This window comes from Homo sapiens, chromosome 2, assembly GCF_000001405.40.
Source record: "Homo sapiens chromosome 2, GRCh38.p14 Primary Assembly".
NCBI lineage: Eukaryota > Metazoa > Chordata > Mammalia > Primates > Hominidae > Homo > Homo sapiens.
The window spans coordinates 25,339,647-25,364,683 of record NC_000002.12 but is presented as its reverse complement, the minus strand read 5'-3'; the positions used below and the strand labels follow the sequence as shown (position 1 = coordinate 25,364,683).

Sequence of the window (25,037 nt, the reverse complement as noted above, 5' to 3'; positions counted from 1 at the left end):
TGTGTGACTCCTGCCCTCTGCTCCAACCTTGGTCCCTAAGTCATCCAGTCCTGCTGGGGTGCCTCCAGCTGCCCCGGGCTTCCTCCATGATCTCCCTAGACCTGGTCTAAATCTGTCACCTCTTGCCTCAATTTGCCCTTTTGAATCTTCTCCCTTTCCTTTTTCTGCGAGTCTGCACCCTGCTGGCCCCTTGCTAAGTCTCCTCCTTCTGTCCCTGTCTTTGCTCCCAAGGGTCCTCACCAGCGAGGGTTCTGCCTTCTTCTCTGGAGTTGTCTCATCCTCCCTGTTTCTTGGAGGCCTGTCTGGGGCCCTGCTTCTCAGGGAGGTACCTGAGGGTTCCTGGGATCCCTGGGGACCATGCCTTCCTGGACAGCTATAGGGTTCAATGGAAAAGCATGGGTTCTGGAGGGCAGGCACACCTTCATTTGAATCCTGACGCTGCTCCTTTCTAGAGTGACCTCAGGTCACTGCCTTATTCTCTGCATCTATAAAATGAAGATAATTCCAACCTATTTAGTTGTTCTAAGGATTATATTAAAATGTGTAAGAGACCTGGAGCAGGGCTGAGCACATAGCAAATGAGTAATAATGGTTGCTTTCCTTTCTTCCTCTGACACTAGTGTCTGCACCATCCACTGGGCACTGTGGGTCAAGCCACACTGAGCCGCACTGGCCAGACCCTACCTGGACTCATAGGCGAGAGGCTACAGTGATGGGGACAAGGGAACCTGGTACTGCCAGGGCCCAAGCCCCACGCCCGGTGCCAGGTGGCTGAGGATCTCCCCAGGCCTGGCACGGGTGCTCAGGCTTGGGGCGCTGATTTGTCTCCCCTGCCCAGACATGTAAAGGGCCACTTAAGGAGGTCGAGGGGTGGAGTCCAGGGCCCTGAGCCAAATCTCTGCCCAGGCTGTAGCCCTCAAGTCATGGGAAAATCTGCTTCTGGGGTGGAGGCTGGTCTTGGAATGGCAGGTAAGGAGCAGGACAGGATGGGGAGGACCACCTCGCAGACCTCACTCTCACCACCAGGTATACACACACTTGTGACTTGCTTGCCCCCTCAGTGGGTGAGCAGTTTCTTCAAGCCCTTGAAACGCCAAGGTCTTGTCACAGTTTTCTCCCGGGGCAAAGGGGCTACTTTCCCCTACACTAAAGAGAGCCCTCTCCGAACAATTTATTCTTTGCCAGAGATACTGGGCTCTGTGCAGGCTCCTAGAGGGAGCTTTCTCTACCGATCAAGAAGCATCTGCTTCCCTTATTCACTTAGCAAAAATTTCTTCTTTTTTTTTTTTTTTTTTTTTTTTTTTTTTTTTTTTTTTTTGCGGCGGAGTCTCACTCTGTCTCCCAGGCTGGAGTACAGTAGTATGATCGGCTCACCACAACCTCTGCCTCCCAGATTCAAGCCATTCTCCTGCCTCAGCCTCCCGAGTAGCTGGGATTACAGGCGCCTGCCACCATGCCCGGCTAATTTTTATATTTTGAGTAGAGACGGGGTTTCAGCATGTTGGCCAGGCTGGTCTTGAACTCCTGACCTCGTGATCCACCCGCCTCAGCCTCCCAAAGTGCTAAAATTACAGTCGTGAGCCACCGCGCCTGGCCCCAGAGATGGCTTTCTGTCCTGAGCAAGAAGGAAATATTCTGGAAGTTATACTTTCCAATGCTTTCCTCCCCACCAACCGGACAAAAGGCCAGGGGCCCACTCCAGCTGCCCTAGGGAATCCCCCAACATCTCACCTCTCCTTAGCTCCTCTGGGCTTCTGCAGTGACATCAGTGTGACTTCAGCACTGCGCTTTTTGAGCTAGCGGCTCTGCTCCGCTGCCCTCGGGCCCCACTTCCTCTAAATTCCCCGTTCCTCTCCCCGTGGCTCCACTTCTTCTTCGGGGCCGTGGCAGCGTTCTTCAATGTTCCCCGTGCACAGCCTGGATCCTGGCTGCCGCCTGTCCTACCTGTCCACGAGCTCCCCCTCTTTTTTTCCTCACTCTTGACTCAGAGAAACCCCACCCAATGCCTGCCAGATAGCGGAAGCTTAACAATCAGTTGTTAGATGTGCAAATAAAATACAGCCACAGATCGTTATATTGGTAACACAAACACAACATTCAGAGACCAAGAAAATGAAAAAGGGAGGTCTAGAAGGTCCTCACCTTCGTTCTTTTGTAAATAACGATGTCTTTATTATCAACAGGTCCCACCAAGGATTTTCCTGGTGTGTAAATTTATGAGGTGTCTTATAAAGGAATGACAAATGGAAAACACAGTTCATTATACACTTAACAAATTGCCTTTATTAAAAAAACAAAAACCAGGAAATCAGGATTGTCCTTGAGGAGTGAACACACCCAGGGGCCATGCCCCAAATGTTCTTTCTGTGTCAAGTGAGCCAACCCCGTCCCCTCTGTCCCATTCCCACACACACGTTTCCTCTTGCGCAGCTCAGGCACCGGGACTGGGTCCCCTCCCTAGCCCTGCCGGGAAGGAGAAAAGAAAGCGAGACTGAGCCCAGCCAATCAACAGTCAGCATTTCTGAAGCTCCTCCCCAAATACAAATATGCGCTCCGCCCCCGCTAGCGCCACCTGGAGGGTGAAGAGCGAAATGCGGCGACTGCACTGGGTCCTCGGCCTGGCGGAGCCGCCCACTTCGCTGGTTTTTGCAGCCGATGGAGACCCGGACTCCGCTCCGAAACCTGCTGACCGCGGTGGGGTTATTCGGAGCGGAGCCGCCGAGGGGCTGTCGAGCGCTTTTGAATCTGTTTACTTGAAATGACTTTCCCCACAACTTTCCCTGATTTCTATTCCCACTTGACCAAAAGAATGAGTTTGATGTGGAAAAGTGGCCAGAAAAGTGGCAATAGTGGTGTTAGGTGCTCAATGGCATCTCTTTGGGCTCAGCCTCCATTAAGCAAAGTAGATGCCTGGGGTGGGGAGGTGGCACCCTTTTTCCGGATCCCCAGTCAGTGGGGCAGGGGCTTCGGACACTGTCCCCACAGCTGGACTAGTGGCCCAGAGATCCTAGAAGGGACCCAGCCTTCCCGCGCTGCACCCAGACCTCCGGGGTGTGACCGCCAAGCTGTCCTGGCTCCCCTGCTCAGTGGCCTGATGGGGGTCTCAGTCCCGCACTCCCTCGTGGGGTCGGGGCACTAAAACAATCATTTTTTCAGGCCATGCTCCTTGATCCTAATTTAAAAGGCGGCCTGGCCGGACGCGGTGGCTCATATCTGTAGCTCCAGCACAGAGTTGGAGGCCAAGGCAGGCGGATCACCTGAGATAAGGAGTTTGAGGCCAGCCTGGCCAACATGGTGAGACCCCCGTCTCTACTAAAAATACAAAAATCACCCGGGTGTGGTGGCACGTGCCCGTAGTCCCAGCTACTTGGCAGGCTGAGGCAAGAGAATCGCTTGAACCCGGGAGGCGGAGGTTGCAGTAAGCCAAGATCATGCCACTGCACTCCAGCCTAGGCGACAGAGTGGGACTCTGTCTCAAAAAAAAAAAAAAATTAGCTGGGTATGATGGTGCAGTCTGTAATCCCAGCTACTCGGGAGGCTGAGGCAGGAGAATCGCTTGAACCCGGGAGGCGGAGGTTACAGTAAGCTGAGATCACGCCACTGTACTCCAGCCTGGGTGACACAGCAAGACTCTGAGACTCCATCTCAAAAAAAAAAAAAAAAAGGAGGCCTGGGAAGGATCCCCTCTGAGACATGGAAGACTTGCTTGACTCAAGGTGGGTTTTTTCCTTGAGTCCCTCAGTAGCCCTCAGGACAGTCCCTCAGGTGCCACCTGCCCTCCCCTGCAGGAGAGGTTTGTTCTGGGAGGAGAAGCCCAGACAGGCACGGGTGGCGGGAGGGCAGGTGGGCATCTGCCCCCAACAGGCCTCTCTGCTTTGGGAAGCCCAGGTGCCCTCGGGACCCTTGAGAAAGGAAAGGTGGCGGGGAGAGAGGAGGGCAGGATGAGTTTTTTTTTATTGACCACCTACTATATGCCATATGCTATGTAGATTTCTGACCACGACAGCGGCCTCCTAACAAAGGCCCAAGAAAGCTGACTTTAAAATTACATTTACATGCCCTTGAATAGCATATATTAATTTTACACAAAGGAGAATATGCCTTTAGGCTGTTTTCCTTTTTCTTTCTTTTCTGTGGCCAAAAAAAAAAAAAAAAAAAAAAAAAGTGGGAGGGGGGTTGATGGGCTTAGGACAGAAAGGAAGAGGTATGCCACCAAAATCACCTGAGAAGAGAAGGGGGGGCTGGGGGTGGGGGTGGCCTGAGAGAAGGACAGACCCTGGCCTCTCCCAGTGGATAAGGAAGAATCTTGCTCTAGCAACTTCAAGATGGTTTGCCTGGTCAAGGAGGGGAAGGGACAGGGCGAGTCCATGGGCCCTGCTCAGGGCTGGCTGCTGGGAAAGGAAGGTCTGTGTCAGTCATGGAATCCAGGAAATCTGCCAAGTTTAAGGCTCAAGGGGGATGGGGGAGCCACCTTTTCTAGGGCCACTATGGGTGGTCTTGGGGCCCTCAGAGGACTTGCTTCTTGGGCACCTGAGTTAGACCTGGCAGAACCAGCAGACACCTTAGGACCTAAGATGGGCCCTCCCTGCCACTCTCTGGGCAAGAGCCCCAAGCCCATATCTCCAGGGTCTGTGTGGAGGGCACTGCTGGGCCCCTGAGAAGTGCAGAAGGTCAGGCTTTCCTGCCCTGGCTTAGCAAAACACCCGGCCTCCATCTCCCCCATTGTTCCCTTGTCCCCACGAACATGCTAGCCCAGTTCTGCTCAGGAAAATCAGCCCCCGCAGCCCAGGTTCTTGCACCTTCCTGTCCTGAACTTCTTTGTCCCTGTCTACTCCTCTCCCCACTGTTCACAGCCCCCAACCTCCCAGGGGCCCACATTCAGCTCCTGAAATTCATTAAGTGTGGCAAGGAAAGGTCTCCACTCAAGAGATTTCAAGATGTCTGGGGACAGGCAGGTTTTCCAAATGACCCTGGAGGCCGGGTGCTTGGGACGCAGTGAGAGGGAGGGGACAGCAAGGGGAGGGCTGGGTTAGATCTGCTCAGGGACAGAGCTGTGAGCCAGTACCCAGCCTGGCAGCAGGTGGGCTGGGTGACAAGCCCTCGGCCTCAGCCAGTCTCTAGCACAAGAGAGCCCCGGGCCCCCTGGGAAATTCTGTGTGGACAGAGGGTGAGGTGAGAGTCCTGGTCTGGCCCTGGCTCTGCCGCTGGCTTGCTCAGAGCCCCCTCGGGACCTCAGCAGCCTCATCCTTAAAATGGACAAAACAAGGGCTGGGGCCAGGTGCAGTTGCTCACACCTGTAATCCCAGCACTTTGGGAGGCCGAGGCCGGCAGATCTTGAGGTCAGGAGTTCCAGACCAGCCTTATCAACATGATGAAACCCCATCTCTACTAAAAATACAAAAGATCAGCCAGGCATGATGGAGCGTGCCTGTAATCCCAGCTACTCGGGAGGCTGAGGCATGAGAATCGCTTGAACCCAGGAGGCGGAGGTTTTAGTGAGCCGAGATTGCACTATTGCACTCCAGCCTGGGCAACAGCACGAGACTCCATCTAAAAAAAAAAAACAAAAAAACAAAAAAACAAGGGCTGGCCTGTCTGCCTCCGGGTTTGTGACTAGGATCTCATGAGAGCTCTGTCTGAAAGGGGAATTTCCCCTGTCTTCTGTGAAATGAGGAATGGAGAGAAGCAGGGAAGGCAGGCAGTTCATGTCAGCTAAGGCTGTGGAGTACTCGCTATGTGTGGGCTCAGTACCAGGCACTCAGCACCCTCTCATTTAATTCTCCCAACAACCCCGCAAGCCAGGCATGATCAACAAGAGCACAACATCTGGCGAGTGGGCAAGCTGGCACGAGAATCCACAGCTCCCAATGCGAAGCCCCTGCCCTTTACCCAGTGCCACTCTGGGACAGATGTTCCCCTGAAGGACACCCTCTGGGGTGGGGAAAATGCCCTCACTGGAAGCCTGGAAGTTTAGTGCTTGGCCCCAGCTGGCTGAGTGGACTTAGGGAACTGACTTAACACCTCTGCCCTCCATGCCGTCCTTTGTCTGAGAGGAGGTTTACTCTCTGGGAGTCACTTTTATGATCCCAGCCCTGATCCTTTGTTGGGTTAGAAAAGGAATGAAAATGCAAATGGGCGTTAGACCTGGAGCCAGGGGCCAGGGCCCTGGCATGGGCCTCAGGACTATTGCCCTGCTTTTGAGCATCCCTACATGTGGCCTGGGCCTAGCCACCCCAGGAGACAGGCAGGAGCCTGTTACAAGCCCATGTGTCAGAAAACTAAGGTCAAGTGAAGAAACACGACGTCTCAGGGTCCAAGAGCAAATTAGAGGCAGAGCCAGGGTTGGAATCCAGGTCTTCCAGCTCTTAGCCCAGCTGCCCGGCTCAGGCCCCAGCTTGGAACAGAGGGGGAAGAACAGGAAAAAGGGGCTGTGGCCTTCTCTGAAAGCTCCAGGGGAGGACCAATGTCCTTGCCTTTGCCAGCTTCTAGAAGCACCCACATTCCTTGGCTTGTGGCTCCCTCCTCCATCTTCAAAGCCAGACATAATGCGTTGAGGCCTTCTCATGTTGCATTGCCCTGACACTGACTCTTCCATCTCCCTCTCCCACTTTTTTTTTTCTTTTTTTTTCTGAGATGGAGCCTTGCTCTGTTGCCCAGGCTGGAGTGCAGTGGTGTGATCTCAGCTCACTGCAACCTCCACCTCCCTGGTTCAAGTGATTCTCATGCCTCAGCCTCCCGAGTAGCTGGGATTACAGGCATGTGCCATCATACCTGGCTAATGTTTGTATTTTTAGTAGAGACGGGGTTTCGCCCTGTTGACCAAGCTGGTCTCAAACTCCTGACCTCATGTGATCCACCTGCCTCGGCCTCCAAAGTGCTGGGATTACAGGCATGAGCCACTGCACCCGGCCCTCCCTCTCCCGCTTCTAAGGATGCTTGTGATGACATTGGACACACCCTGATAATCCAGAATAATCCCCCCAACTCTAGGTCAGCTATTAGCAACCTTAATTCCATCTGCAACCTTAATTCCCCTTGCCATGTGGCCTGACAAATTCACAAGTTCCAGCAATTTGGACATGGACATCTTTCAGGTGCCACTATTCTGTCTATCATATGCCCCTCGTCCCAAAGGGTATATATTAGGTTGTTCTGACATTGCTATAAAGAAATACTTGGCCAGGGCCGGGTGCAGTGGCTCACGCCTGTAATCCCAGCGCTTTGGGAGGCCAAGGCGGGCAGATCACCAGGTCAGGAGATAGAGACCATCCTGGCGAACCCTGTGAAACCCCGTCTCTACTAAAAATACAGAAAAATTAGCCAGGCATGGTGGCAGGCGCCTGTAGTTCCAGCTACTCAGGAGGCTGAGGCAGGAGAATGGCATGAACCTGAGGGGTAGAGCTTGCAGTGAGCAGAGGTCACGCCACTGCACTCTGGCCTGGGCAACAGAGCAAGACTCTGTCATAAAAAAAAAAAAAAAAAAAGAAAGAAAGAAATACTTGGCCAGGCATGGTGGCTCATGCCTGTAATCCCAGCACTTTGGGAAGCCGAGGCAGGCAGATCACTTGAGGTCAGGAGTTCGAGACCAGCCTGGTCAACATGGTGAAACCCCGTCTCTACTAAAAATACAAAAATCAGCCAGGCATGATGGCAGACACCTGTAATCCCAGCTAGTCAGGAGGCTGAGGCAGGAGGATTGCTTGAAGCCAGGAGGCAGAGGTTGCAGTGAGCCGAGATCGCGCCATTGCACTCCAGCCTGGGTGACGGAGTGAAACTCCGTCTCAAAAACAAACAAACAAAAAAACACACAAAAAAACTTGAGACTGGGTGATTTCTAAAGAAAAGAGTTTTGATGGGCTCATAGTTCTGCAGGCTTTATAGGAAGCATGATGATGGCATCTGCTTGGCTTCCAGGGAGGCCTCAGGAAGTTTCCAATCATGATGGAAGGCAAAGGAAGAGCAGGCAGGTAGCAAAAGCAGGAACAAGAGAGTGAGAGTGTGCTCCCACACTTTGTGAGAGATGCTATGTGTCACTTTTAAATGACCAAATCTCATAAGAACTTACTAACACATGGACGGCACCAAGGGGATGGCGTTAAACCATTCACAAGAAATCCAGCCCAGTGATCCAAGCACCTCCCATGCAAAGGATTACAGTTCGACATGAGATTTGGGCAGAGACAAATATCAGGGGACTTCTAAAAACTGACATCAGGGGACTTCTAAAAAGGTGCATGTCTTTTACCTGCCGTGGGTTGAGATTTGTACCTGCCATCCTCCTCTGTTCCTCCCTCAAGTCTCTGTCCAGCCGCAGCCTCAGCCTTTGAGGATTTCCCCTGCATCCCACTTCCTGCCTCCTGAGCATGCCCCGGAAATGTTCCCTGGGGAGTGTCGGCTCCTGGTGGGAAGGCCCTGGTGCCCACCTTCCTGGTGCCTCTCTGTCCTTCTGTCCCTCCCACAAGGGGACCTATGGCCCTGCAGCTGCAGGGGGACAGGAGAACAGGCCCAGGGTGCTGGCCAGGCTCAGAGGGGGAGGCCCTCAGGGAAAGGGGAGTCTCCTTCCCCAGATGGATCCAGGGGGCTGCTGGCTGCTGGTGGGGGCAGCTGAGAAGGGCCCAGAAATGTCTATGGAATTGCTTCCCCTCCTCCCACGTCCTGAAGAGGTTTCCGTGTCCCGATGGCAGTGCCGGCTGGTAAGATGGGGAAGGTGAGCCAGGCTGTGTACATGGGCTGCTGGAGGGGCATTTTGCTGCTGTGTATTATTGTTTTATTCCCGGCACTGCTGGGGGTGGTGGGAGTGAACCCAGGCAAATGACTGAGCCAGGCTCTTCTGGGAACCGGCAGGAGGCCCTGAGTGTGTCCATGTCTCCCTGTGGTGCTGGGACAGCTGGGATTCGGGCTGGGATTCTGTCCTCACACTCTCGGACAGTCTGCTCTGGGCTGCCTGGGGTAGTCTTAGGTCGGGTCCAGCCCCCTTGCCTTTGCTCCTGTGGTGGGCAGCTTCTAAAATGGCTTCCTGGTATCTGGATCCTTGTAATCCCCTCCACTTCAGTGTGGGCTGGTTCTAGTGACTGGCTATTAACGGAGAGAACAGCGCAAATGCCTCCAAGATTTGGTTATGAAAGTTCGTCTCTTCGCTTGCCACACACTCTCTCGCTCTCTCCTCCTTCCTCTCTGGTGAGGCCAGCTGCCATCTTGGGAGCGTCCTGTGGAGAGGCCCACGTGGCAAGGAGCTGAGGGCAGCCTCTGGCCAATAGCCAGCATTGAATTGAAGCCCTCAGTCCACCAACCTGTGAGGAACTAGATTCTGTCAACAACAACCATGTGAGTGAGGCTGGAAGTGGATCCTTCCCCATCAAACCTTGAGATGACAGCAGCCGGACACCTTGATTGCAGTCTGTGAGAGAGCCTGAGCCTGAGGACCCCAGCAAGCCACTCACAGATTCCTGACCCATGGAAACAGAGAGACAATACGTGTTGTTTCAGCCGCTAAGATATGGGCTAACTTGTTATGCGCTGTAGATAACAAATGCACTCCTTCCTCCCTGACCTCTTGCCTCGGAAATACTGAGTCCCTTTGTCTTTGGCCTTCATTCATTCATCTGGCTCGCCCTGCCTCCCTGAGCCCCCTTCTCTCTCCTTTGTTGTCATCTCTTCCAGCCCCAGGTTGTAGCCTACCCCCGAACCTCTGGTCTCCACACTCCCCGGAGAGCCCATCCCTTCATGGCTGCAGTGTGAGTAGTGTCACACCGATGGCGCTGTTCCTCGAGTTATTCTCCACTCCATCCGCTCCTCTAAATTCAGTTACACTTCTCCTCTGGCCCCTGAATATACGTTTGATCTGGATGCTCCTAGAACAATGCAAATCAGTTGCTACGTCCCTCCTCATCTGTTTTCAGTCAGCAATAGATGTTCCCTTTGTGGTTTTTTGTTTGTTTGGAGATAAAGTCTTGCTCTGTCACCCAGGCTGGAGTGCAGTGGCGCAATCTTGGCTCACTGCAACCTCCGCCTCCCAGGTTCAAGTGATTCTCCTGTCTCAGCCTCCCGAGTAGCTGGGACTACAGGCACCCGCCACCATGCCCGGCTAATTTTTTTTTTTTTTTTTTTGTATTTTTAGTAGAGACGGGGTTTCACCATGTTGGCCAGGCTGGTGTCGAACTCCTGACTTCAGGTGATCCACCCACCTTGGCCTCCCAAAGTACTGGGATTACAGGCATGAGCCACTGCACCCGACCAGGTGTTCCCTTTGAAAGGTGGTTTATAGCTTCCCCAAACCCATTGCCAGAGCTGGGTGCAAATCTCCTGGCCTCCCTCCAATTCAGAGTCAGCTTCTTACACACGACTTTCAAGGCATCAGATTATCAATGACGTCAAGTCTCCATCTATCCCATTGAAGCTGCCTGGTCTGTTTCTCACCTGTCATCCCGTGTGACTCTGGCAAATGGACTGGAGCTGAAATGCCAGCTGTGCCGTATTATGCCTGTGCAGTTGCTTCACTCTCTGGCCTCAGTTTTCTAAGCTGTAGTTGGAAACTAGAAATCCTGCGGATGTCCTTCAACAGGTGAGTGTTTACATGCTGGCATAACCATACCATGAACTGTTACCCAGCAATACAGAGGGGTGAACTAGAGACACATGCAACAATCTAGATGAATCTCCAGAGGGTTATGCTTGGTGAAAAGAGCCAGTTCCAAAAGGCTATATGCTGAATGAGTTCGTTTCTTTCTTTCTTTTTTTTTTTTTTTTTTTTTTTTTTGAGATGGAGTCTCGCTCTGTTTCCTAGGCTAGAGTGCAATGGCACGATCTTGGCTCACTGCAACCTCTGCCTCCCAGGTTCAAGCGATTCTCCTGCCTCAGCCTCCTGAGTAGCTGGGTTTACAGGCGCCTGACGCCACACCTAGCTAATGTTTTTAGTTTTTAGTAGAGATGGGGCTTCACCATGTTGGCCAGGCTGGTCTCAAACTCCTCACCTCAAATGATCCACCCACCTCAGTCTCCTAAAGTACAGGGATTCCAGGCATGAGGCACTGTGCCCGGCCTTGAATGAGTTCTTTATTTTTTTTTTTTTTTTTTTGAGACAGAGTCTCACTCTGTTGCCCAGGCTGGAGTGCAGTGGCTTGATCTCGGCTCACTGCAAGCTCTGCCTACCGGGTTCACGCCATTCTCCTGCCTCAGCCTCCCAAGTAGCTGGGACTACAGGCACCCGCCACCACACCTGGCTAATTTTTTTTTTTGTATTTTTAGTAGAGACGGGGTTTCACCGTGTTAGCCAGGATGGTCTTGATCTCCTGACCTCATGATCCACCCACCTCAGCCTCCCAGAGTGCTGGGATTACAGGCATGAGCCACTGTGCCTGGCCGAATGAGTTCATTTCTATAACACTATTGAAATGATAAAATTATAGAAAAAGAGAATAGATTAGTCATTGTTCAGGGTTAAGGGGTGGCCAGCTGGAGGGTGGCATGAGGAATCCAGTGGTAATGGAAACGTTCACGTCACTGTCAGTATCTTGGTTGTGACAGCCCACTTCACTGTGAGATGGTATCATCAGGGGAAACTGAGTAAGGGTACATGGGATCTCTCTTTAGTGTTTCTCACAACTGCATGAAAATCTAAAATTATCTCCAGAAAATGTTTAACTTTAAAAATGACACCCCCTTTATTGAGTTATATGGAACTCAACTTATAAATTAGGGGGTACATTACCTAATAAAAGAATATGAATGAAAAAAAAAAACCACCACTGCTTTATACTCACTAAAACGTTTGTATCCGAAAGTACATGACCACAGGTTTCTAATCTTTCATCTTGAAACTAATGCACCCCACGGAAAGCTGGGTGGATGGTGAGATGTCTCGCTATGCTCCCTGAGACCATGCTCGGTGCAGATGAAGTGAGATTGGGTTCCATAGATGGCAGCTCCTTCCCTCTTCCCTCTGGAGAAGCAGCAGAAATGGGGGAGAACTTAGAGAGATGAAGGGAGAGTACAGAGTTAGGGGTGTATATGTATAAAGAGGTCATAAAATGTATAAAGAGGTCATAAAAATCAAGAAGAGAAAGACCACAGCCTGATAGATTAACAGTCAACATGCTAATGGTCCTTAGACACATGGAAAGATGCTCAATCCCCTCATAATCAGAGAAATGCGAAAGAAAACATACAGCGAGAACCCAATGCTCACCTATTACATGGGCAAAAATCCAAGAGTTTGACAACGAACTCAATGAACAAGGCTCTCTCACATATATTTCTGGTGGGAAGGCAAAATGCTATCTTCCTGGGGGTAATTTTTAATTTTGAAACAATCTCAAACTTACAGAAAATTTGCCAATATGGTACAAAGTACTTATTTTGAGGGGGAACCATTTGTGAATAAATTGCCAACAGGATACCCTGTTGCCCCCTCCCCGACAACTTTAGTATATATTTCTTTTTTTTTTCTTTTTTTGTTTGTTTTTTTGAGACGGAGTCTCACTCTGTCGCCAGGCTGGAGTGCAGTGGTGCGATCTTGGATCACTGCAACCTCTGCCTCCCGGGATCAAGCGATTCCCCTGCCTCAGCCTCCTGAGTAGCTGAGACTACAGGTGCCTGCCACCATGCCTGAATAATTTTTTGTATTTTAATAGAGAGGGGTTTCACCATGTTGACCAGGATGGTCTCGATCTCCTGACCTTGTGATCCACCTGCCTTGGCCCCCCAAAGTGCTGGGATTACAGGCGTGAGCCACTGTGCCCAGATTTTAGTATATATTTCTAACAGATAAGGATGTTGTTTTTCTTTTTGTTGTTGTTGTTTTTGATTTTGTTTTTGAGACAGGGTCTCACTCTGTTGCCCAGACTGGAGTGTAGTGGTGTGATCTTGGCTCACTGCAACATCCGCCTACCAGGTTCAAGTGATTCTCCTGCCTCAGCCTCCAGAGTACCTGGGATTACAGAAATGCGCCACCATGCACAGCTAATTTTTATATTTTTAGTAGAGATGGGGTTTCACCATGGTGGCCAGGCTGGTCTCGAACTCCTGACCTCAGGTGATCCACCCGTCTCGGCCTCCCAAAGTGCTGGGATTACAGGCATGAGCCACCGCGCCCAGCCTCAGGATGTTGGTTTTCATAACCACAGGATAGAGACATCAAAATCAGGAAAGCAACATTGATACATTACTACTATCTAATCCTCAGACCCCATTCAGTTTTCTCCGGTTGTTCCAATAATGTCCTTTATAGCAAATAAAATCCAGTTCAGAATTGCACATTTAGTTTTCCTATGTCTTTAGTTTCCATCAATACGTAACGGTTTCTCAACCTTTCTTTGACTTTCATGATCTTGACACTTTCAAAAAATGCAAGCCAGTTAATTTGTAAAACAGCTCTCATTTTGGGTTCGTCTGGTGTCTCCTCAAGGTCAGATTCAGGCATGCACCTTTGGCAGGAACATCACAGAAATGATGCCGTGTCCTTCTGACTGCATCTTGGTAGGTGGTGCACCATTTGGATTTGCCCAATTACTGACAACATTAACTTTTCTTTCAATCACTTGATTAAAGTGATGTGTTCCAGCCTTTTCCATTGTAAAGTTACTCTTTGTCGCTTTGTAATTAATAAGTATTTTGTGGGGAAGTACTTTGAGACCATGTAAACATCCCATTCCTCACTAAACTTGCTGTTTATTATCTAGTTATTTCTGTCAGTGTGGACTATGGGTTATAATCTATTAATATCTGTCTTAGTCCATTTGCATTGCTAGAAAGGAATACCTGAGACTGAGTAATTTATAAAGAAAAGAAGCTGATTTTGCTCACGGTTCTGCAGGCTGTACAAGAAGCATGTGGCTAGGCACGGTGGCTCATGCCTGTAATCCCAGCACTTTGGGAGGCCGAGGTGGGTGGATCACCGGAGGTCAGGAGTTCAAGACCAGCCTGGCCAACATGGTGAAACCCCGTCTCCACTAAAAATACAAAAATTAGCCAGGCATAATGACACATGCCTATAATCCCAGCTACTCAGGAGGCTGAGGTGGGAGAATCGCTTGAACCCAGGAGGTTGAGGTTGCAGTGAGCTGAGATCGCACCACTGCACTCCAGCCTGGGCAACACAGAGAGACTCCATTAAAAAAAAGAAGAAGAAGGAAGAAGAAGAAGAAGGAAGAAGAAAGAAGAAGAAGAATGGCACTGGCATCTGTTTCTGGTGAGGCCCTCAGGAAACTTCCACTCGTGGCGGAAGGGGAAGAAAAGCAGGCATGTCACATGATGAGACAGGAAGGAAGACAGAGACGAGGAAGTGCCAGGCTCTCTTTAATAATCAGCTCTCAAGCGAAGTAACAGAGTAGGAACTCACTCATTACCTTGAGGGGGGCATCAAGCTGTTCATGAGGGATCTGTCCCCATGACCCAAGCACCTCCCACTAGGCCCTGCCTCCAACACTGGGGATCAGATCTCAACATGAGATTGGGAGGGGAAAAATAGCCAAACTATCTGAATATCATTATTTATTTTGGTGCTCAAATTGTCCCATATTCCACCAGTGGCAGCCCCTTTTGGGACAAGGGACAAGTCTGCTTGTCCCTTGCTCGACCCAATTCTGGAATCTGCTATTTCTCCAGGCAGGTCCAGTGCCTTCCAGTAAAGACTGGTATTTAGAAACCAAGTTCTGGACACTAGTTTTATTTATGGCTATTGAGGTTTTATTGTGTCTAGGTGCTCTCAGGTGACAGAACAAGTGAATGTATATATTTCTGAGGTGTCTCCTGGGGGAAGGGGTTAAGTTAGCATCTAGAAGTTGGGGGACATTAGTAGAAGTTGCTGTGAGAAATCCGATAAGAGAGTAAACATAGTTGAATAAAATACGGTGAACGGGCACATATAAAACCATACAGAGTGAACTCGTATCTAGGATTTTCTCAGTGAATGAGGATAACGGCATTTTATGGGTTTACAAAGCACTTTAGTATCCACTTGATTTGATGTTCGCAATGTCTACGGGGCGCATGCGCAATGATCTACTCAGCAGCTTTGGGTCTTTGGGGGGCTGGCTGCTTGTCCACAGCATTCCCAGGAAGTGAGCTGGCTGGCAGCTGCCTGAGGTTGTAAGGAAGTGACATTGCATTCCCCAAACCTAGGGATTGCCCAACCTCTGAAGGAATCCCCAGGAAAACATGATCAGGCCAAGAGGAAGCTTGTCCTCCTCAAAAACGACTTCTTCCCCTCAGCCCTCAGGAGCAGCCACGGACCACAATGAACCAGGGAAATTCTCCCAGGGAGTCAGGCCAGGACCTGGCTCCACTGCCAAGATGTGAGCCCTGGCTGGGTGTCATGTAGGCCACGGACGGGTAGCCCCTGCATATCTTTCCCTTCTAGCTTCTTCTAAAGCCAGTCTTCATTGTGGATCATCTATTTTCTCTCCACCACTGTATGTATGGTGCTTTGGGGTGGTTGAGTTTACAATTTAACCACAGGGTACAGGATAAGAAGAAGCCACACTGAGACCCCATGGAGAGGCATGCACATTACTCAGAGATCTTGGTCTTAGAGCTGGCCACGACTTGGATTATCTTTTTCGCAAAAAGAGAGTAAATGCATTTTTAGTTGTGGATGGGGTGGGTTCTTTACATGAGCAGGAGCATTTTTAACAATATATTTTCTATTGAGATGAAATTCATATAATATTAAATTAACCACTTTAAATTGTACAATTCCACGGCATTTAGTGCATTCACAGTGCTGTGCAGTCAGTCACCAGCTCTGTCAAGTGCAGGAGCACTTTTGAAAGTTCACCCATGGGCAGGGTGCCGGGGCTCACGCCTGTAATCCCAGCACTTTGGGAAGCCGAGGCGGGCAGATCACAAGGTCAAAAGATCGAGAACAGCCTGGCCAACATGGTGAAACCCCGTCTCTACTAAAAATACAAAAATTAGCTGGTTGTGGCTGCGGGCGCCTGTAATCCCAGCTACTCAGGAGGCTGAGGCAGGAGAATCGCCTGAACTTGGGAGGCGGAGGTTGCAGTGAGCCGAGATCATGCCACTGCACTCTGGCCTGGCGACAGAGTGAGACTCCGTCTCAAAAAAAAAAAAAAGAAAAAAGAAAAAGAGAAAAAGAAAGGGCATCCATGGTGGGGAAAGGTACGCAAGGATGCTGCGTGGCCATTGGGTGGCGTGTGGTGTGTTTGCCCAGCACCCTTGCTTTGGTGAACAGCTTTGCCCTGCTTCACAGGGTGCTGGCAGGATCTGTTCATCCCAGTGCCACCTCTTGAACCCACTTACAGGAGTGGGCATGTAATCTGTGCTATCCCACTGGCCACAGAACCTGGTTCAGGTTGGACTTGTGACCAACGCCAGAACAACTGAAGTAGTCCCTGGAACTTTTCTGCTAGGGATGGCCCCTTGAGAGAGGGTGACATTGAAGAAAAACAAAAACAGAAACAAAAACCAGGGCAATTGTGTGTCTGAGGATCAGGGTTGGGAGTGAGGGGTTGTTAAAAGACCCAGAGCTTTATGTTGTGGAGGCATTAGGGGATTTCCTGAAGTCCTCCTTCCTTTCTTGAAGGAAAAGAAAATGATATTCTTCCACTGGGATTCTAAGCTGGAAGCATGTGAGCCTGAGGCTGCTGGTCACCATCTTCCAAGGCTGTGTGGAGTTTGTTTAAAGTAGGAGGGAAAGATGCCAAAATAGTGGGAAGCAGTCGTGAGCGATGGAAACAGGGGAAGAAAGAGAGAGAGCAGGGAGAGAGTGCACTCTGGAGCTGGCATTTGAACTAGGTTTTCCTAGTCCTAAATCCCCAACTCTGGGCTTCACAATTGTCTCAATTCTAAACAACAGAATCCCTCTGTTCAGACTAATTCAGGCTGGCATTCTGTTACTGTAACAGAGAGAATCTTGACTAATGTGACAGCCCTACCTGGAAGGCGGGTAGAAGGATCCCCATGTGTTACAGATGAAGAACCTACGGTGATGAGGTCCAGGACATAGTTCTCCTCGTAGGTGTCACATGGAGGGGATATTAAGATGACTGCAGTGGTGAGTCACTGTGGGGGTGGAAGTCGCTGAGCAGCTGGTAGGTGAGCCAGGTCTGGAAGTCAGGAGGGAGGATGGAAGGTCACCCACTGTGCCAAAGGCAGATGGGATGGTTTGAGAAGAGCATGGATGGAGAAGACACGTCTCTGTCAGGATGTTGGGGGCAAGGGTAGACCTACTGCCACTTTTCTCTTTTGAGTCAGGAGTGTAGGAGCTAAGCCTTCCGCTGGAGACCCTGGGTAGAGGATGTTAGAGGAGCATGTGACCTGTGAGGGGGCTGGGAGGGCCCCTGTGGTAGTCACTGGTGCTAACTCTATCTAGTTCTCCCCACTTTGAGGCCCATGGTAGCATTTACTTCCTGGTCCTTGTAAGTGAATGGAGCTGTGTGACTGCCTATAGTGACAAGTGCCTTTTGTCAATGGGACACCCTCTGGTACTCTCCTTGAGATAGTGGCTTTTCTGTCGACCAGGGTCCCTGAGTATTCAATGAGCAGAGCCCCCTACCTCTACCCCTCTGCAAACCTGCGATAGACATGTGACACGGGCAAGAGAAGGAACTTTCGCGGTTCGTTGGTAATCTACTGAAGAAATGTAATGTACAGTTGGACTATGCTCTATTTTTTTTATTGTGGTAAAATAGACATAACATGAAATTTATCATTTTAACCTTTTTTTTTTTGAGACGGAGTCTCACTCTGTTGCCCAGGCTGGAGTGCAGTGGTGCAATCTCGGCTCACTGCAAGCTCCACCTCCTGGGTTCAAGTGATTCTCCTGCTTCAGCCTCCCCAGTAGCTGGGACTACAGGCGCCTGCCTCCATGCCCAGCTAATTTTTGTATTTTTAGTAGAGATGGGGTTTCACCATGTTGGCCAGGATGGTCTCCATCTCTTGACCTTGTGATCCACCTGCCTTGGCCTCCCAAAGTGCTGGGATTACAGGTGTGAGCCACCGCGCCCGGCCTTTTTTTTTTTTTTTTGAAATGGAGTTTCACTCTTGTTGCCCAGGCTGCCGTGCAGTGGCATGATCTCGGCTCACTAAAATGTTCGCCTCCTGGGTTCAAGCGATTTTCCTGCCTCAGCCTCCTGAGTAGCTAGGATTACAGGGGCCTTCCACCACACCTGGCTAATTTTTGTATTTTTAGTAGAGACGGGGTTTCACCAGGTTGGCCAGGCTGGTCTTGAACTCCTGACCTCAGGTGATCCACCTGACTCAGCCTCCCAAAGTGCTGGAATTAAAGGTGTGAGCCATCACACCCGGACCTTTTAATCTTTTTTTTTGAGACAGAGTCTCGCTCTGTCGCCCAGGCTGGAGTGCAGTGGCATGATCTCGGCTCACTGCAACCTCTGCCTCCCAGGTTCAGGCGATTCTCCTGCCTCAGCCTCCCAAGTAGCTGGGACTACAGGCGCCCGCCACCACGCCCGGCTTTTTTTTTGTATTTTTAGTAGAGACGGGGTTTCACCGTGTTAGCCAGGATGGTCTCGATCTCCTGACCTCGTGATCCATCTGCCTTGGCCTCCCAAAGTGTTAGGATTACAGGAGTGAGCCACTGCGCCCGGCCTAATCATTTTTAAGTGTATAGTTCAGTGTCATAAGTACAACCACCACCGCCATCCATCTCCAGAACTTTTTCATCTTCCCAAACTGAAACTCTATCCCCGTTAAATACCAAGTCCCCATTCCCCCTCCCCGCAGCCCCTGGCACCCACCATTCCACTTCTGTCTCTATGAGTCTGACTACTCCAGGACCCTCATATGAGTGGAATCCTACAGTATTTATGCATTTGTGTCTGCCTCATTTCATTTAGCATAGTATCCTCAAGGTTCATGCATGTTGTTAACAGGTGTCAGGACTCCCTCCTTTTTAAGGCTGGATCATCTTCTATTGTGTGGATAGACTGCATTTTGCTTATTCATTCATCAGCTGATAACATCAGGTTGCCTCCACTTTTGGCTATTGTGAATAATGCTGCTATAAACATTGGTGTACAGATATCTACTCCAATCTCTGCTTTTGGCCGGGCATGGTGGCTCACGCCTGTAATCCCAGCACTTTGGGAGGCTGAGGCAGGTGGATCACCTGAGGTCAGGAGTTCAAGACCAGCCTGGCCACCATGGTGAAACCCCGTCTCTACTAAAAATTAAAAAATTAGCCAGGCATGGTGGTGGGCACCTGTAATCCCAGCTATTTGGGAGGCTGACACAGGAGAATCACTTGAACCCAGGAGGCACAGGTTGCAGTGAGCCGAGATCACGCCACTGCACTCTAGCCTGGACAATAAGAGGGAAACTCCATCTCAAAAGCAAAACAAAAGAAAACAACACAACAAAAAACAAACAAAAAAATTTCTGCTTTCAATTATTTTGACTGTACACCGGAAGTGGAACTGCTGGGTTATATGGTAATTCTATGTTTAATTTTTTTTGAGGTACTACCATACTGTTTTCCATAGAAACTTTGTGGTTTTGAGTCACTGAGATTTGGAGTTGTTTGTTACTGCAGGACAACCTAGCCTGTCCTGATACTGCCACATACCCTAGATAATCTAGGATCAGCCAGGATTCTGATGAGGCCACAGTGCGGCAGACACAAGTGAGGGGTGTAGAAGCCGAGAGGCTAAACCAACCTGAGTTAACCCAGTATGAGGTGCAGTGATGAGGGTTAGCTAGCACAGATATGCCTCCTCTTGGGACCAAAGACATTAAGGTCAGGGTCTGGAACCAACCCTGTAGCCAAACGGTTGTTTCTTAACAGACATAAACCCCCTAACACAGTCACCTTGGACCTCTTGACCCCAGCAACCCATACATCCAAGGTTACATACTTTACCATACTAAGTGACTTTGGTGGCTCCTAATAATGTCATCATAAATAGCCCTATTGAATAGAAATTTACATTTGCTCATCATGGCCCTGAGAATTTCAGCTTTTTTTTTTTTTTTTTTTTTTTGAGACAAAGTCTTGCTGTGTTACCCAGGCTGGAGTGCAGTAGCACGATATCAGCTCACTGCAACTTCCGCCACCCAGGTTCAAGCGATTCTCCTGCCTCAGCCTCCCGAGTAACTGGGTTTACAAGCATGCGCCATGACACCCAGCTAATTTTGTATTTTAAGTAGAGACGGGGTTTCACCATGTTAGCCAGGCTGGTCTTGAACTCCTGACCTCAAGTGATCCTCCCGCCTCGGCCTCCCAAAGTGCTGGGGTTACAGGCGTGAGCCACTGCACCCACTGAATTTCAGCTTCTTAAGAGCAACTATGTTTCAAAAGTGTGGTGTGGGCTGGGCACGATGGCTCATGCCTGTCATCCCAACACCTTGGGAGCCTGAGATAGGAGCATCACCTGAGCCCAGGAGTTCAAGACCAGCCTGATCAACATAGAGAGGCCCCTATCTCTACAAATAATAATAATAAATTAGCCAGGCATGGTGGTGTGCATCTATAGTCCCAGATACTCAGAAGGCTGAGGCAGGAGGATTGGTTGAGCCCAGAATGTCGAGGCTACAGTGAGCCATGATCACTCCACTGCACTCCAGTCTGGGCAACAGAGCGAGACTGTGTCTCAATAAAAGAAAAAAAAAAAAGATGTGATGTGGGGTGATTTCAGAGCCGGATGAACCTGGCTTTGAATCCTGACTCTGCCACTTCCCAACTGTATGGCTTTGACTAAGACTGAGCCTCAGTTTCTTCATCTGTAGCGTGAGGAGAGTACAAGCCATATCACAGGGCTAGTGAAGACTAGAGAAAATACCATGTCTGGTGCCTGGCACATAGTAGACACTCAGTAAACAGTCGCTGCTGTTTGGGGCCGTGTTATATGTAAGCCCTTGATGAAGGCAGAGGTATCTCAGTCATCCTTCTATAAACGGTCTTCTCCTTTGCCAAGCTGGGTGCGCCATTTAGAGTGTTCACGGATGCCCCTCCTGATGTAGAAAGCGAACAGCCCAGGAGGGTCACATGTTAATTCCACCAAGGTTTACTGAGAATCTCCTAGCACCAAGTGCTGGGCTACAGGGATGACAGACGCGGCCCCTGTCCTCACAGAGCACTGGGAGTCTCTGGGCCGGTGGGGACCATGGACAGCAGGGCCTATCATCAGTAGGGCGGGGTGGCCACTTGAGTGAGGGTGACACTGAAAACGGCCAGAACTATGGCCTAGAAGCTGGTCTCAGATATCGAGGCTCAGGGTGGGGGTTGGGGAGACGGAGGGACCTGGAAGCATTGGAGAACCTCCCGAAGGAAAACCTTCCCGTCTGTATGAAAGGTCAGCTCCCGGTCCCAGAGAACTTGGCAACTCGGTTCTGTGACGCTAAAAGGGTGGCGTTGGGGGGGCGGGTGCTGGGCTGCATGGGGAGAAGGGAAAAGTAGGATCCGCTTCACTGTGAAGTGAGTCCCACCACCAACTCCAGCAATCCCTGCCCACAAGTAGGATGGCGGGTCCCTGGGAAGGGAGCACGCCATGTCCTGTGCCAGTCAGGGAGCTCAGGGCACTGTGATATAGCTGAAGTGCTGAGTAGAATTCGGGGTGCAGAGCTGCGGGTGGCTGGTGGGGTGCTGGGGCGCGCAAGGAGGCTGGAGGCGGGGGTGGGGGGGTGCCCAGCCCCAAGTCCTACAGCGGCTGCTGGAGGAGTGAGATGAGCACATAGTGAGTGGCTGTGCTGGTGGAATTAGACAGAGGTGCCCCAAGTCAGGAACCTAGAGCCCTGAGCGCTCCATGGGGAAGGAGAACAGCCCCCACGGTGAAGGGGTGAGGGCGGTGTGTAGGCACACACAGAATCTTCCAGCTGGAAGAGACCTTCAATGTCATTTCATTCAACCTCCCACCTCATGAAATCTTTCAGTCTTCCAGTGCCCAACTGAGGACACCCAACTCTACTTGGACACCTCAAGGTACGGGGAACTCACTCCCTTCAAGGCAGCTCATCTCAGAGAGGCTTTGGAGCCTGCGGGACGGCCAGGAGGAGCCTGGCGCTCCGACCTTGGCCCTGTAGAGCAGAGTGGCCTCTACTCCGCGGCGGCACCTGGCTGGGGGTTGCGGCGCGGTTGGGCCAGCGCTGCTGTCCCCAGCCCCAGTGCTGAGGCAGGCAGAGCGCAGTGGGCTCTGGCGGAGGTCGGGAGAACTGCAGGGCGAAGGCCGCCGGGGGCTCCGCGGGCTGCGGGGGGAGGCACTTGACACCGGCCCGGGGAGAGGAGGGGCCGCTGTCCCTGCGGCCAGTGCTGGATGCGGGGACCCAGCGCAGAAGCAGCGCCAGGTAGCGGGGCGCCCAGCGTGGGGAGGGCTGCGGCGAGGCCCGGAGCTCGGCTACGACTCGAGGGGCTCTGAGTGGCCGGGAGCGCGGCCGAGGCGGGGCGCCCGGGGCCCGGCCCCCGGTCTGGGCGGTGCGGGGTCCAGACCTCCGCCAAGCGGCGTGCGGGGACCCCGGCGGGGCCGCAGAGGCCGGGAAGTCGCGCCGAGGGCGCTAGGACCGGCCGCGCGCCCAGGCCGCTCCCGCCGCGGCGCCCCGGGGCCCCCCAGTCGGCGCTGCCTCCCGGGCCGGCTCCGCAGCGCCGGGGCCGGGGCCAGCGCGGCCGCGGGGGGCGAGCGGCGGGCGGAGGCCTGGGCCCGCGGGCGGCCGGAGGGAGGGAAGGAGGAAGGCGGAGAGAAGGGGTGGGAGGGGGGGACCCGGCGGAGGAGGCGGAGAGAGGGAGCGCGACAGCGAGCGGAGGGAGGGAGCGAGCGAGCGAGGCAGGCAGGCGGGCCGGGAGGGAGGGAGGGCGCGCGGGCGGCGGCGGCGGCGAGAGCAGAGGACGAGCCGGGACGCGGCGCCGCGGCACCAGGGCGCGCAGCCGGGCCGGCCCGACCCCACCGGCCATACGGTAATGAGCGCCGCTGCTGGCGGCCCGGAAGGCCGGCCCGGAGGCGGCGGGGAGCCGGGGAGCCGGGCGGGGGGCGCCGCGGCTGGCAGTGCCCGGCTCGGGGCACGCTCCCGGACCCCTGCAACTCGGCGCCGGGCGCCCGTGGGGCCGGGACTGCAGGCGGGGACGGCGGGCCGGGCTGGCCGGGGCGGCGCGGGGGATTTGAGGGTTTGTTTATGTCCCCGCGGGCTCGGCAGGCGCCCCCTCCCGTCCCGCCCGCTCCCGGCGCGGACCCCCCTCCCCGCCCCCGCCCGGCTCCGGGCTCAAGTTCAAGTCTATACAATGCCGCGGGGGGCCCCTCCACCGCCGGCCTGCGCCGCGGTGCCCGGCTCGCCGCTGCCGCAGGGGCCCCGGCCGGGCCGCCCCCGCCTTCCGGGCTCTGCCCCAGCCCCGCGGCCCCGCCTGGAGCCCGCGGCCAGGGCGCCGGAGGGCGCGGACCCCGACCCAGAAGGATCGGCCCCCGCGGCGGCCCGGGGGAGCGGGGGAGGGGGCGGGGGCCGGGCCCCGCGCAGGCTCCGCGGCGGCGGCAGAAAATGGCAGCCTGGCACGACCCGGCCCCCCGCCCCTCCCCCCGGCGCCCGGCCCTCCTCGGCCCCGCGGGGCGGGGGACCCGGGAGGCCCCCGGGGGCGGGCCGAGGGGTGATGGCGGGGCCGGGCCGGGGAGCGCCGCGCCGCGATCCTCCTCCGGCCACCTGTGGCTGGGGGTGCGGGGCGCCGGCGGGGCCGGGAGGGGCGGCGGGGCCGGGGAGAGCGCCCGCCTTGGGGGCACACCTTCCCCCGGAGTGCCGGCGGCACGGAGAGGGGTGGTCGTGCCCGGCTCCTCCCTGTCCCCACCGCGGGCCGTGGGTGCCCGGGCGGCCGCGGTGGCGGCGCCGCAATGTGGGGGCGGGGCGGGGGCGGGCGAGGATCCCGGGCCCGGGCCCGGGCCGCGGGGGCCGGAAAACGCGGGGGTGGAAGTAGCGGGGCCGGGACCGGGAGCGGCGCAGGGGGGGTACGCCCGGGGTCGCCCCTCCAGCACCCCCGCGCACACTCCCACGCACGCGGACACACTCACGCACACGCACCCCGCCGGGCCGGTGCAGACGTGTCCTTGAAAGCTTCGCATCTGCACAGTGAAGGACGAGGCCTCGCCGCGGCTGCGGAGCGGGGTCTTCGGCCCCACGTCCCCGCACCCCGGGAGACCTCGAGCTTCGGAGCCGCAGGCGGCGGCTGTCCGTGTCCCGCCCTCACCCCAGTTCCCCTCCCCCAGGCCGCCCTGCCTTCCCTCCCCTTCGGCGCGGACCGGGCTGGCGCGGGTCCAGGGCCCGCCCCTGGCCTCCCCCAGCCCCTCATCGCTGGGGCCCGCGGCCCTGGGGCTGCCAAACTGCTTTTCGCTTTCCTGAAGCCTCCCTTCTTGGGGGCACCCTCTCCCACCCCAGCGCCCCTCTGCCATTTCTCCCCCTCTCCTCATCCCCTCCGTCCTGGCACCCTCTCTCCGCTGCACGGCCAGTTGAGGAGGTGTTGGCGCCCTGGGCGGGGAGCAGTGCCCTCTGGTTCCCAGGGGCTGCCTCCCCCGGCTCCTGAGGGGAGCCCCCTGCGGCTGCACCTTGACCCAACATGGCGTCTGGCACCCAGCAGGGCAGCTCTGGCCTGCGGCAGGCGGGAGGGTGGGCAGGGCCGAGCCCCAGGGCCGCGCAGCTACCCCCCCTCCAAACCAGCGGGGACAGAAGCCTTGGGGAGAAGCGCTGTCCGCCCTGTGACCCAACTTGCCCCTCACTGCCGTGCCCAGAGACTGCCATCAGCATCCCTGAGGGCCTGCTCAGTCTTCATGTTTCACCCTAGGCTGCCAGCGGCTGAACCCGCCTCCTGGGCGGGCGGCTACGAAGGGATCCTGGGATCAGGTGCTGCTCCAGTGTCGCCTCCTCCCTCGCGGGCAGATGTGACAGCTGCAGCCAGGGGAGCTATTCGCCTTGCTATTGCCTGGGTGTTAGGACTGGCCTGTGGGATTTGGGGGGCCAGGCATCCCGGGGACCCTCTTTGGTTGGCTAGCAGGGGCCATCTCCAGGTAGTTTTCTGAGCTGCCTGCCTTTGGAGAGTTGGGTTGTAGGGAGTTCCTGCTGGGTTTCTGGGGCAAAATGGTCCCCCTCTGCCTCCAGGTTCT

The 25,037-nt window shown here is 53.8% G+C and overlaps 1 protein-coding gene across 7 annotated transcripts in view, besides 13 other annotated features; it reads left to right on the top strand.

Annotated features, from left to right (window-relative positions):
- Nucleotides 1,942–1,991: an enhancer, noted in NCBI's record as "active region_15450". NCBI's record gives its function as "activates an Ori minimal core promoter by ATAC-STARR-seq in GM12878 lymphoblastoid cells {active_cell/tissue: GM12878}" and the evidence as "EXISTENCE:reporter gene assay evidence [ECO:0000049][PMID:35858748]".
- Nucleotides 2,042–2,141: an enhancer, noted in NCBI's record as "active region_15449". NCBI's record gives its function as "activates an Ori minimal core promoter by ATAC-STARR-seq in GM12878 lymphoblastoid cells {active_cell/tissue: GM12878}" and the evidence as "EXISTENCE:reporter gene assay evidence [ECO:0000049][PMID:35858748]".
- Nucleotides 2,412–2,491: an enhancer, noted in NCBI's record as "active region_15448". NCBI's record gives its function as "activates an Ori minimal core promoter by ATAC-STARR-seq in GM12878 lymphoblastoid cells {active_cell/tissue: GM12878}" and the evidence as "EXISTENCE:reporter gene assay evidence [ECO:0000049][PMID:35858748]".
- Nucleotides 5,709–6,244: an enhancer, noted in NCBI's record as "H3K4me1 hESC enhancer chr2:25581309-25581844 (GRCh37/hg19 assembly coordinates)". NCBI's record gives its function as "activates a minimal SCP1, AML or CMV promoter by ChIP-STARR-seq in naive H9 embryonic stem cells {active_cell/tissue: H9 hESC(naive)}" and the evidence as "EXISTENCE:reporter gene assay evidence [ECO:0000049][PMID:30033119]".
- Nucleotides 8,118–8,618: an enhancer, noted in NCBI's record as "H3K4me1 hESC enhancer chr2:25578935-25579435 (GRCh37/hg19 assembly coordinates)". NCBI's record gives its function as "activates a minimal SCP1, AML or CMV promoter by ChIP-STARR-seq in primed H9 embryonic stem cells {active_cell/tissue: H9 hESC(primed)}" and the evidence as "EXISTENCE:reporter gene assay evidence [ECO:0000049][PMID:30033119]".
- Nucleotides 17,288–17,337: a silencer, noted in NCBI's record as "silent region_11259". NCBI's record gives its function as "represses an Ori minimal core promoter by ATAC-STARR-seq in GM12878 lymphoblastoid cells {active_cell/tissue: GM12878}" and the evidence as "EXISTENCE:reporter gene assay evidence [ECO:0000049][PMID:35858748]".
- Nucleotides 17,358–17,437: a silencer, noted in NCBI's record as "silent region_11258". NCBI's record gives its function as "represses an Ori minimal core promoter by ATAC-STARR-seq in GM12878 lymphoblastoid cells {active_cell/tissue: GM12878}" and the evidence as "EXISTENCE:reporter gene assay evidence [ECO:0000049][PMID:35858748]".
- Nucleotides 21,847–21,966: an enhancer, noted in NCBI's record as "active region_15447". NCBI's record gives its function as "activates an Ori minimal core promoter by ATAC-STARR-seq in GM12878 lymphoblastoid cells {active_cell/tissue: GM12878}" and the evidence as "EXISTENCE:reporter gene assay evidence [ECO:0000049][PMID:35858748]".
- Nucleotides 22,087–22,566: a silencer, noted in NCBI's record as "silent region_11257". NCBI's record gives its function as "represses an Ori minimal core promoter by ATAC-STARR-seq in GM12878 lymphoblastoid cells {active_cell/tissue: GM12878}" and the evidence as "EXISTENCE:reporter gene assay evidence [ECO:0000049][PMID:35858748]".
- The window catches only part of DNMT3A (DNA methyltransferase 3 alpha), a 114,717-nt gene continuing 111,773 nt past the window's right edge, over nt 22,094–25,037 (top strand). For 4 of the 7 annotated variants that reach the window (NM_022552.5, XM_047443593.1, XM_011532664.3 and 1 more), the window contains exon 1: nt 22,759–22,858. The gene's annotated coding sequence lies outside the window, so the exon portion shown is untranslated. Of the gene's footprint in view, nt 22,255–22,758; nt 22,859–25,037 lie in introns of those variants that run through there. The other 3 variants (NM_175629.2, NM_175630.1, NR_135490.2) reach the window with 2 other exon arrangements.
- Nucleotides 22,627–22,836: a silencer, noted in NCBI's record as "silent region_11256". NCBI's record gives its function as "represses an Ori minimal core promoter by ATAC-STARR-seq in GM12878 lymphoblastoid cells {active_cell/tissue: GM12878}" and the evidence as "EXISTENCE:reporter gene assay evidence [ECO:0000049][PMID:35858748]".
- Nucleotides 23,127–23,296: a silencer, noted in NCBI's record as "silent region_11255". NCBI's record gives its function as "represses an Ori minimal core promoter by ATAC-STARR-seq in GM12878 lymphoblastoid cells {active_cell/tissue: GM12878}" and the evidence as "EXISTENCE:reporter gene assay evidence [ECO:0000049][PMID:35858748]".
- Nucleotides 23,397–23,636: a silencer, noted in NCBI's record as "silent region_11254". NCBI's record gives its function as "represses an Ori minimal core promoter by ATAC-STARR-seq in GM12878 lymphoblastoid cells {active_cell/tissue: GM12878}" and the evidence as "EXISTENCE:reporter gene assay evidence [ECO:0000049][PMID:35858748]".
- Nucleotides 23,917–24,036: a silencer, noted in NCBI's record as "silent region_11253". NCBI's record gives its function as "represses an Ori minimal core promoter by ATAC-STARR-seq in GM12878 lymphoblastoid cells {active_cell/tissue: GM12878}" and the evidence as "EXISTENCE:reporter gene assay evidence [ECO:0000049][PMID:35858748]".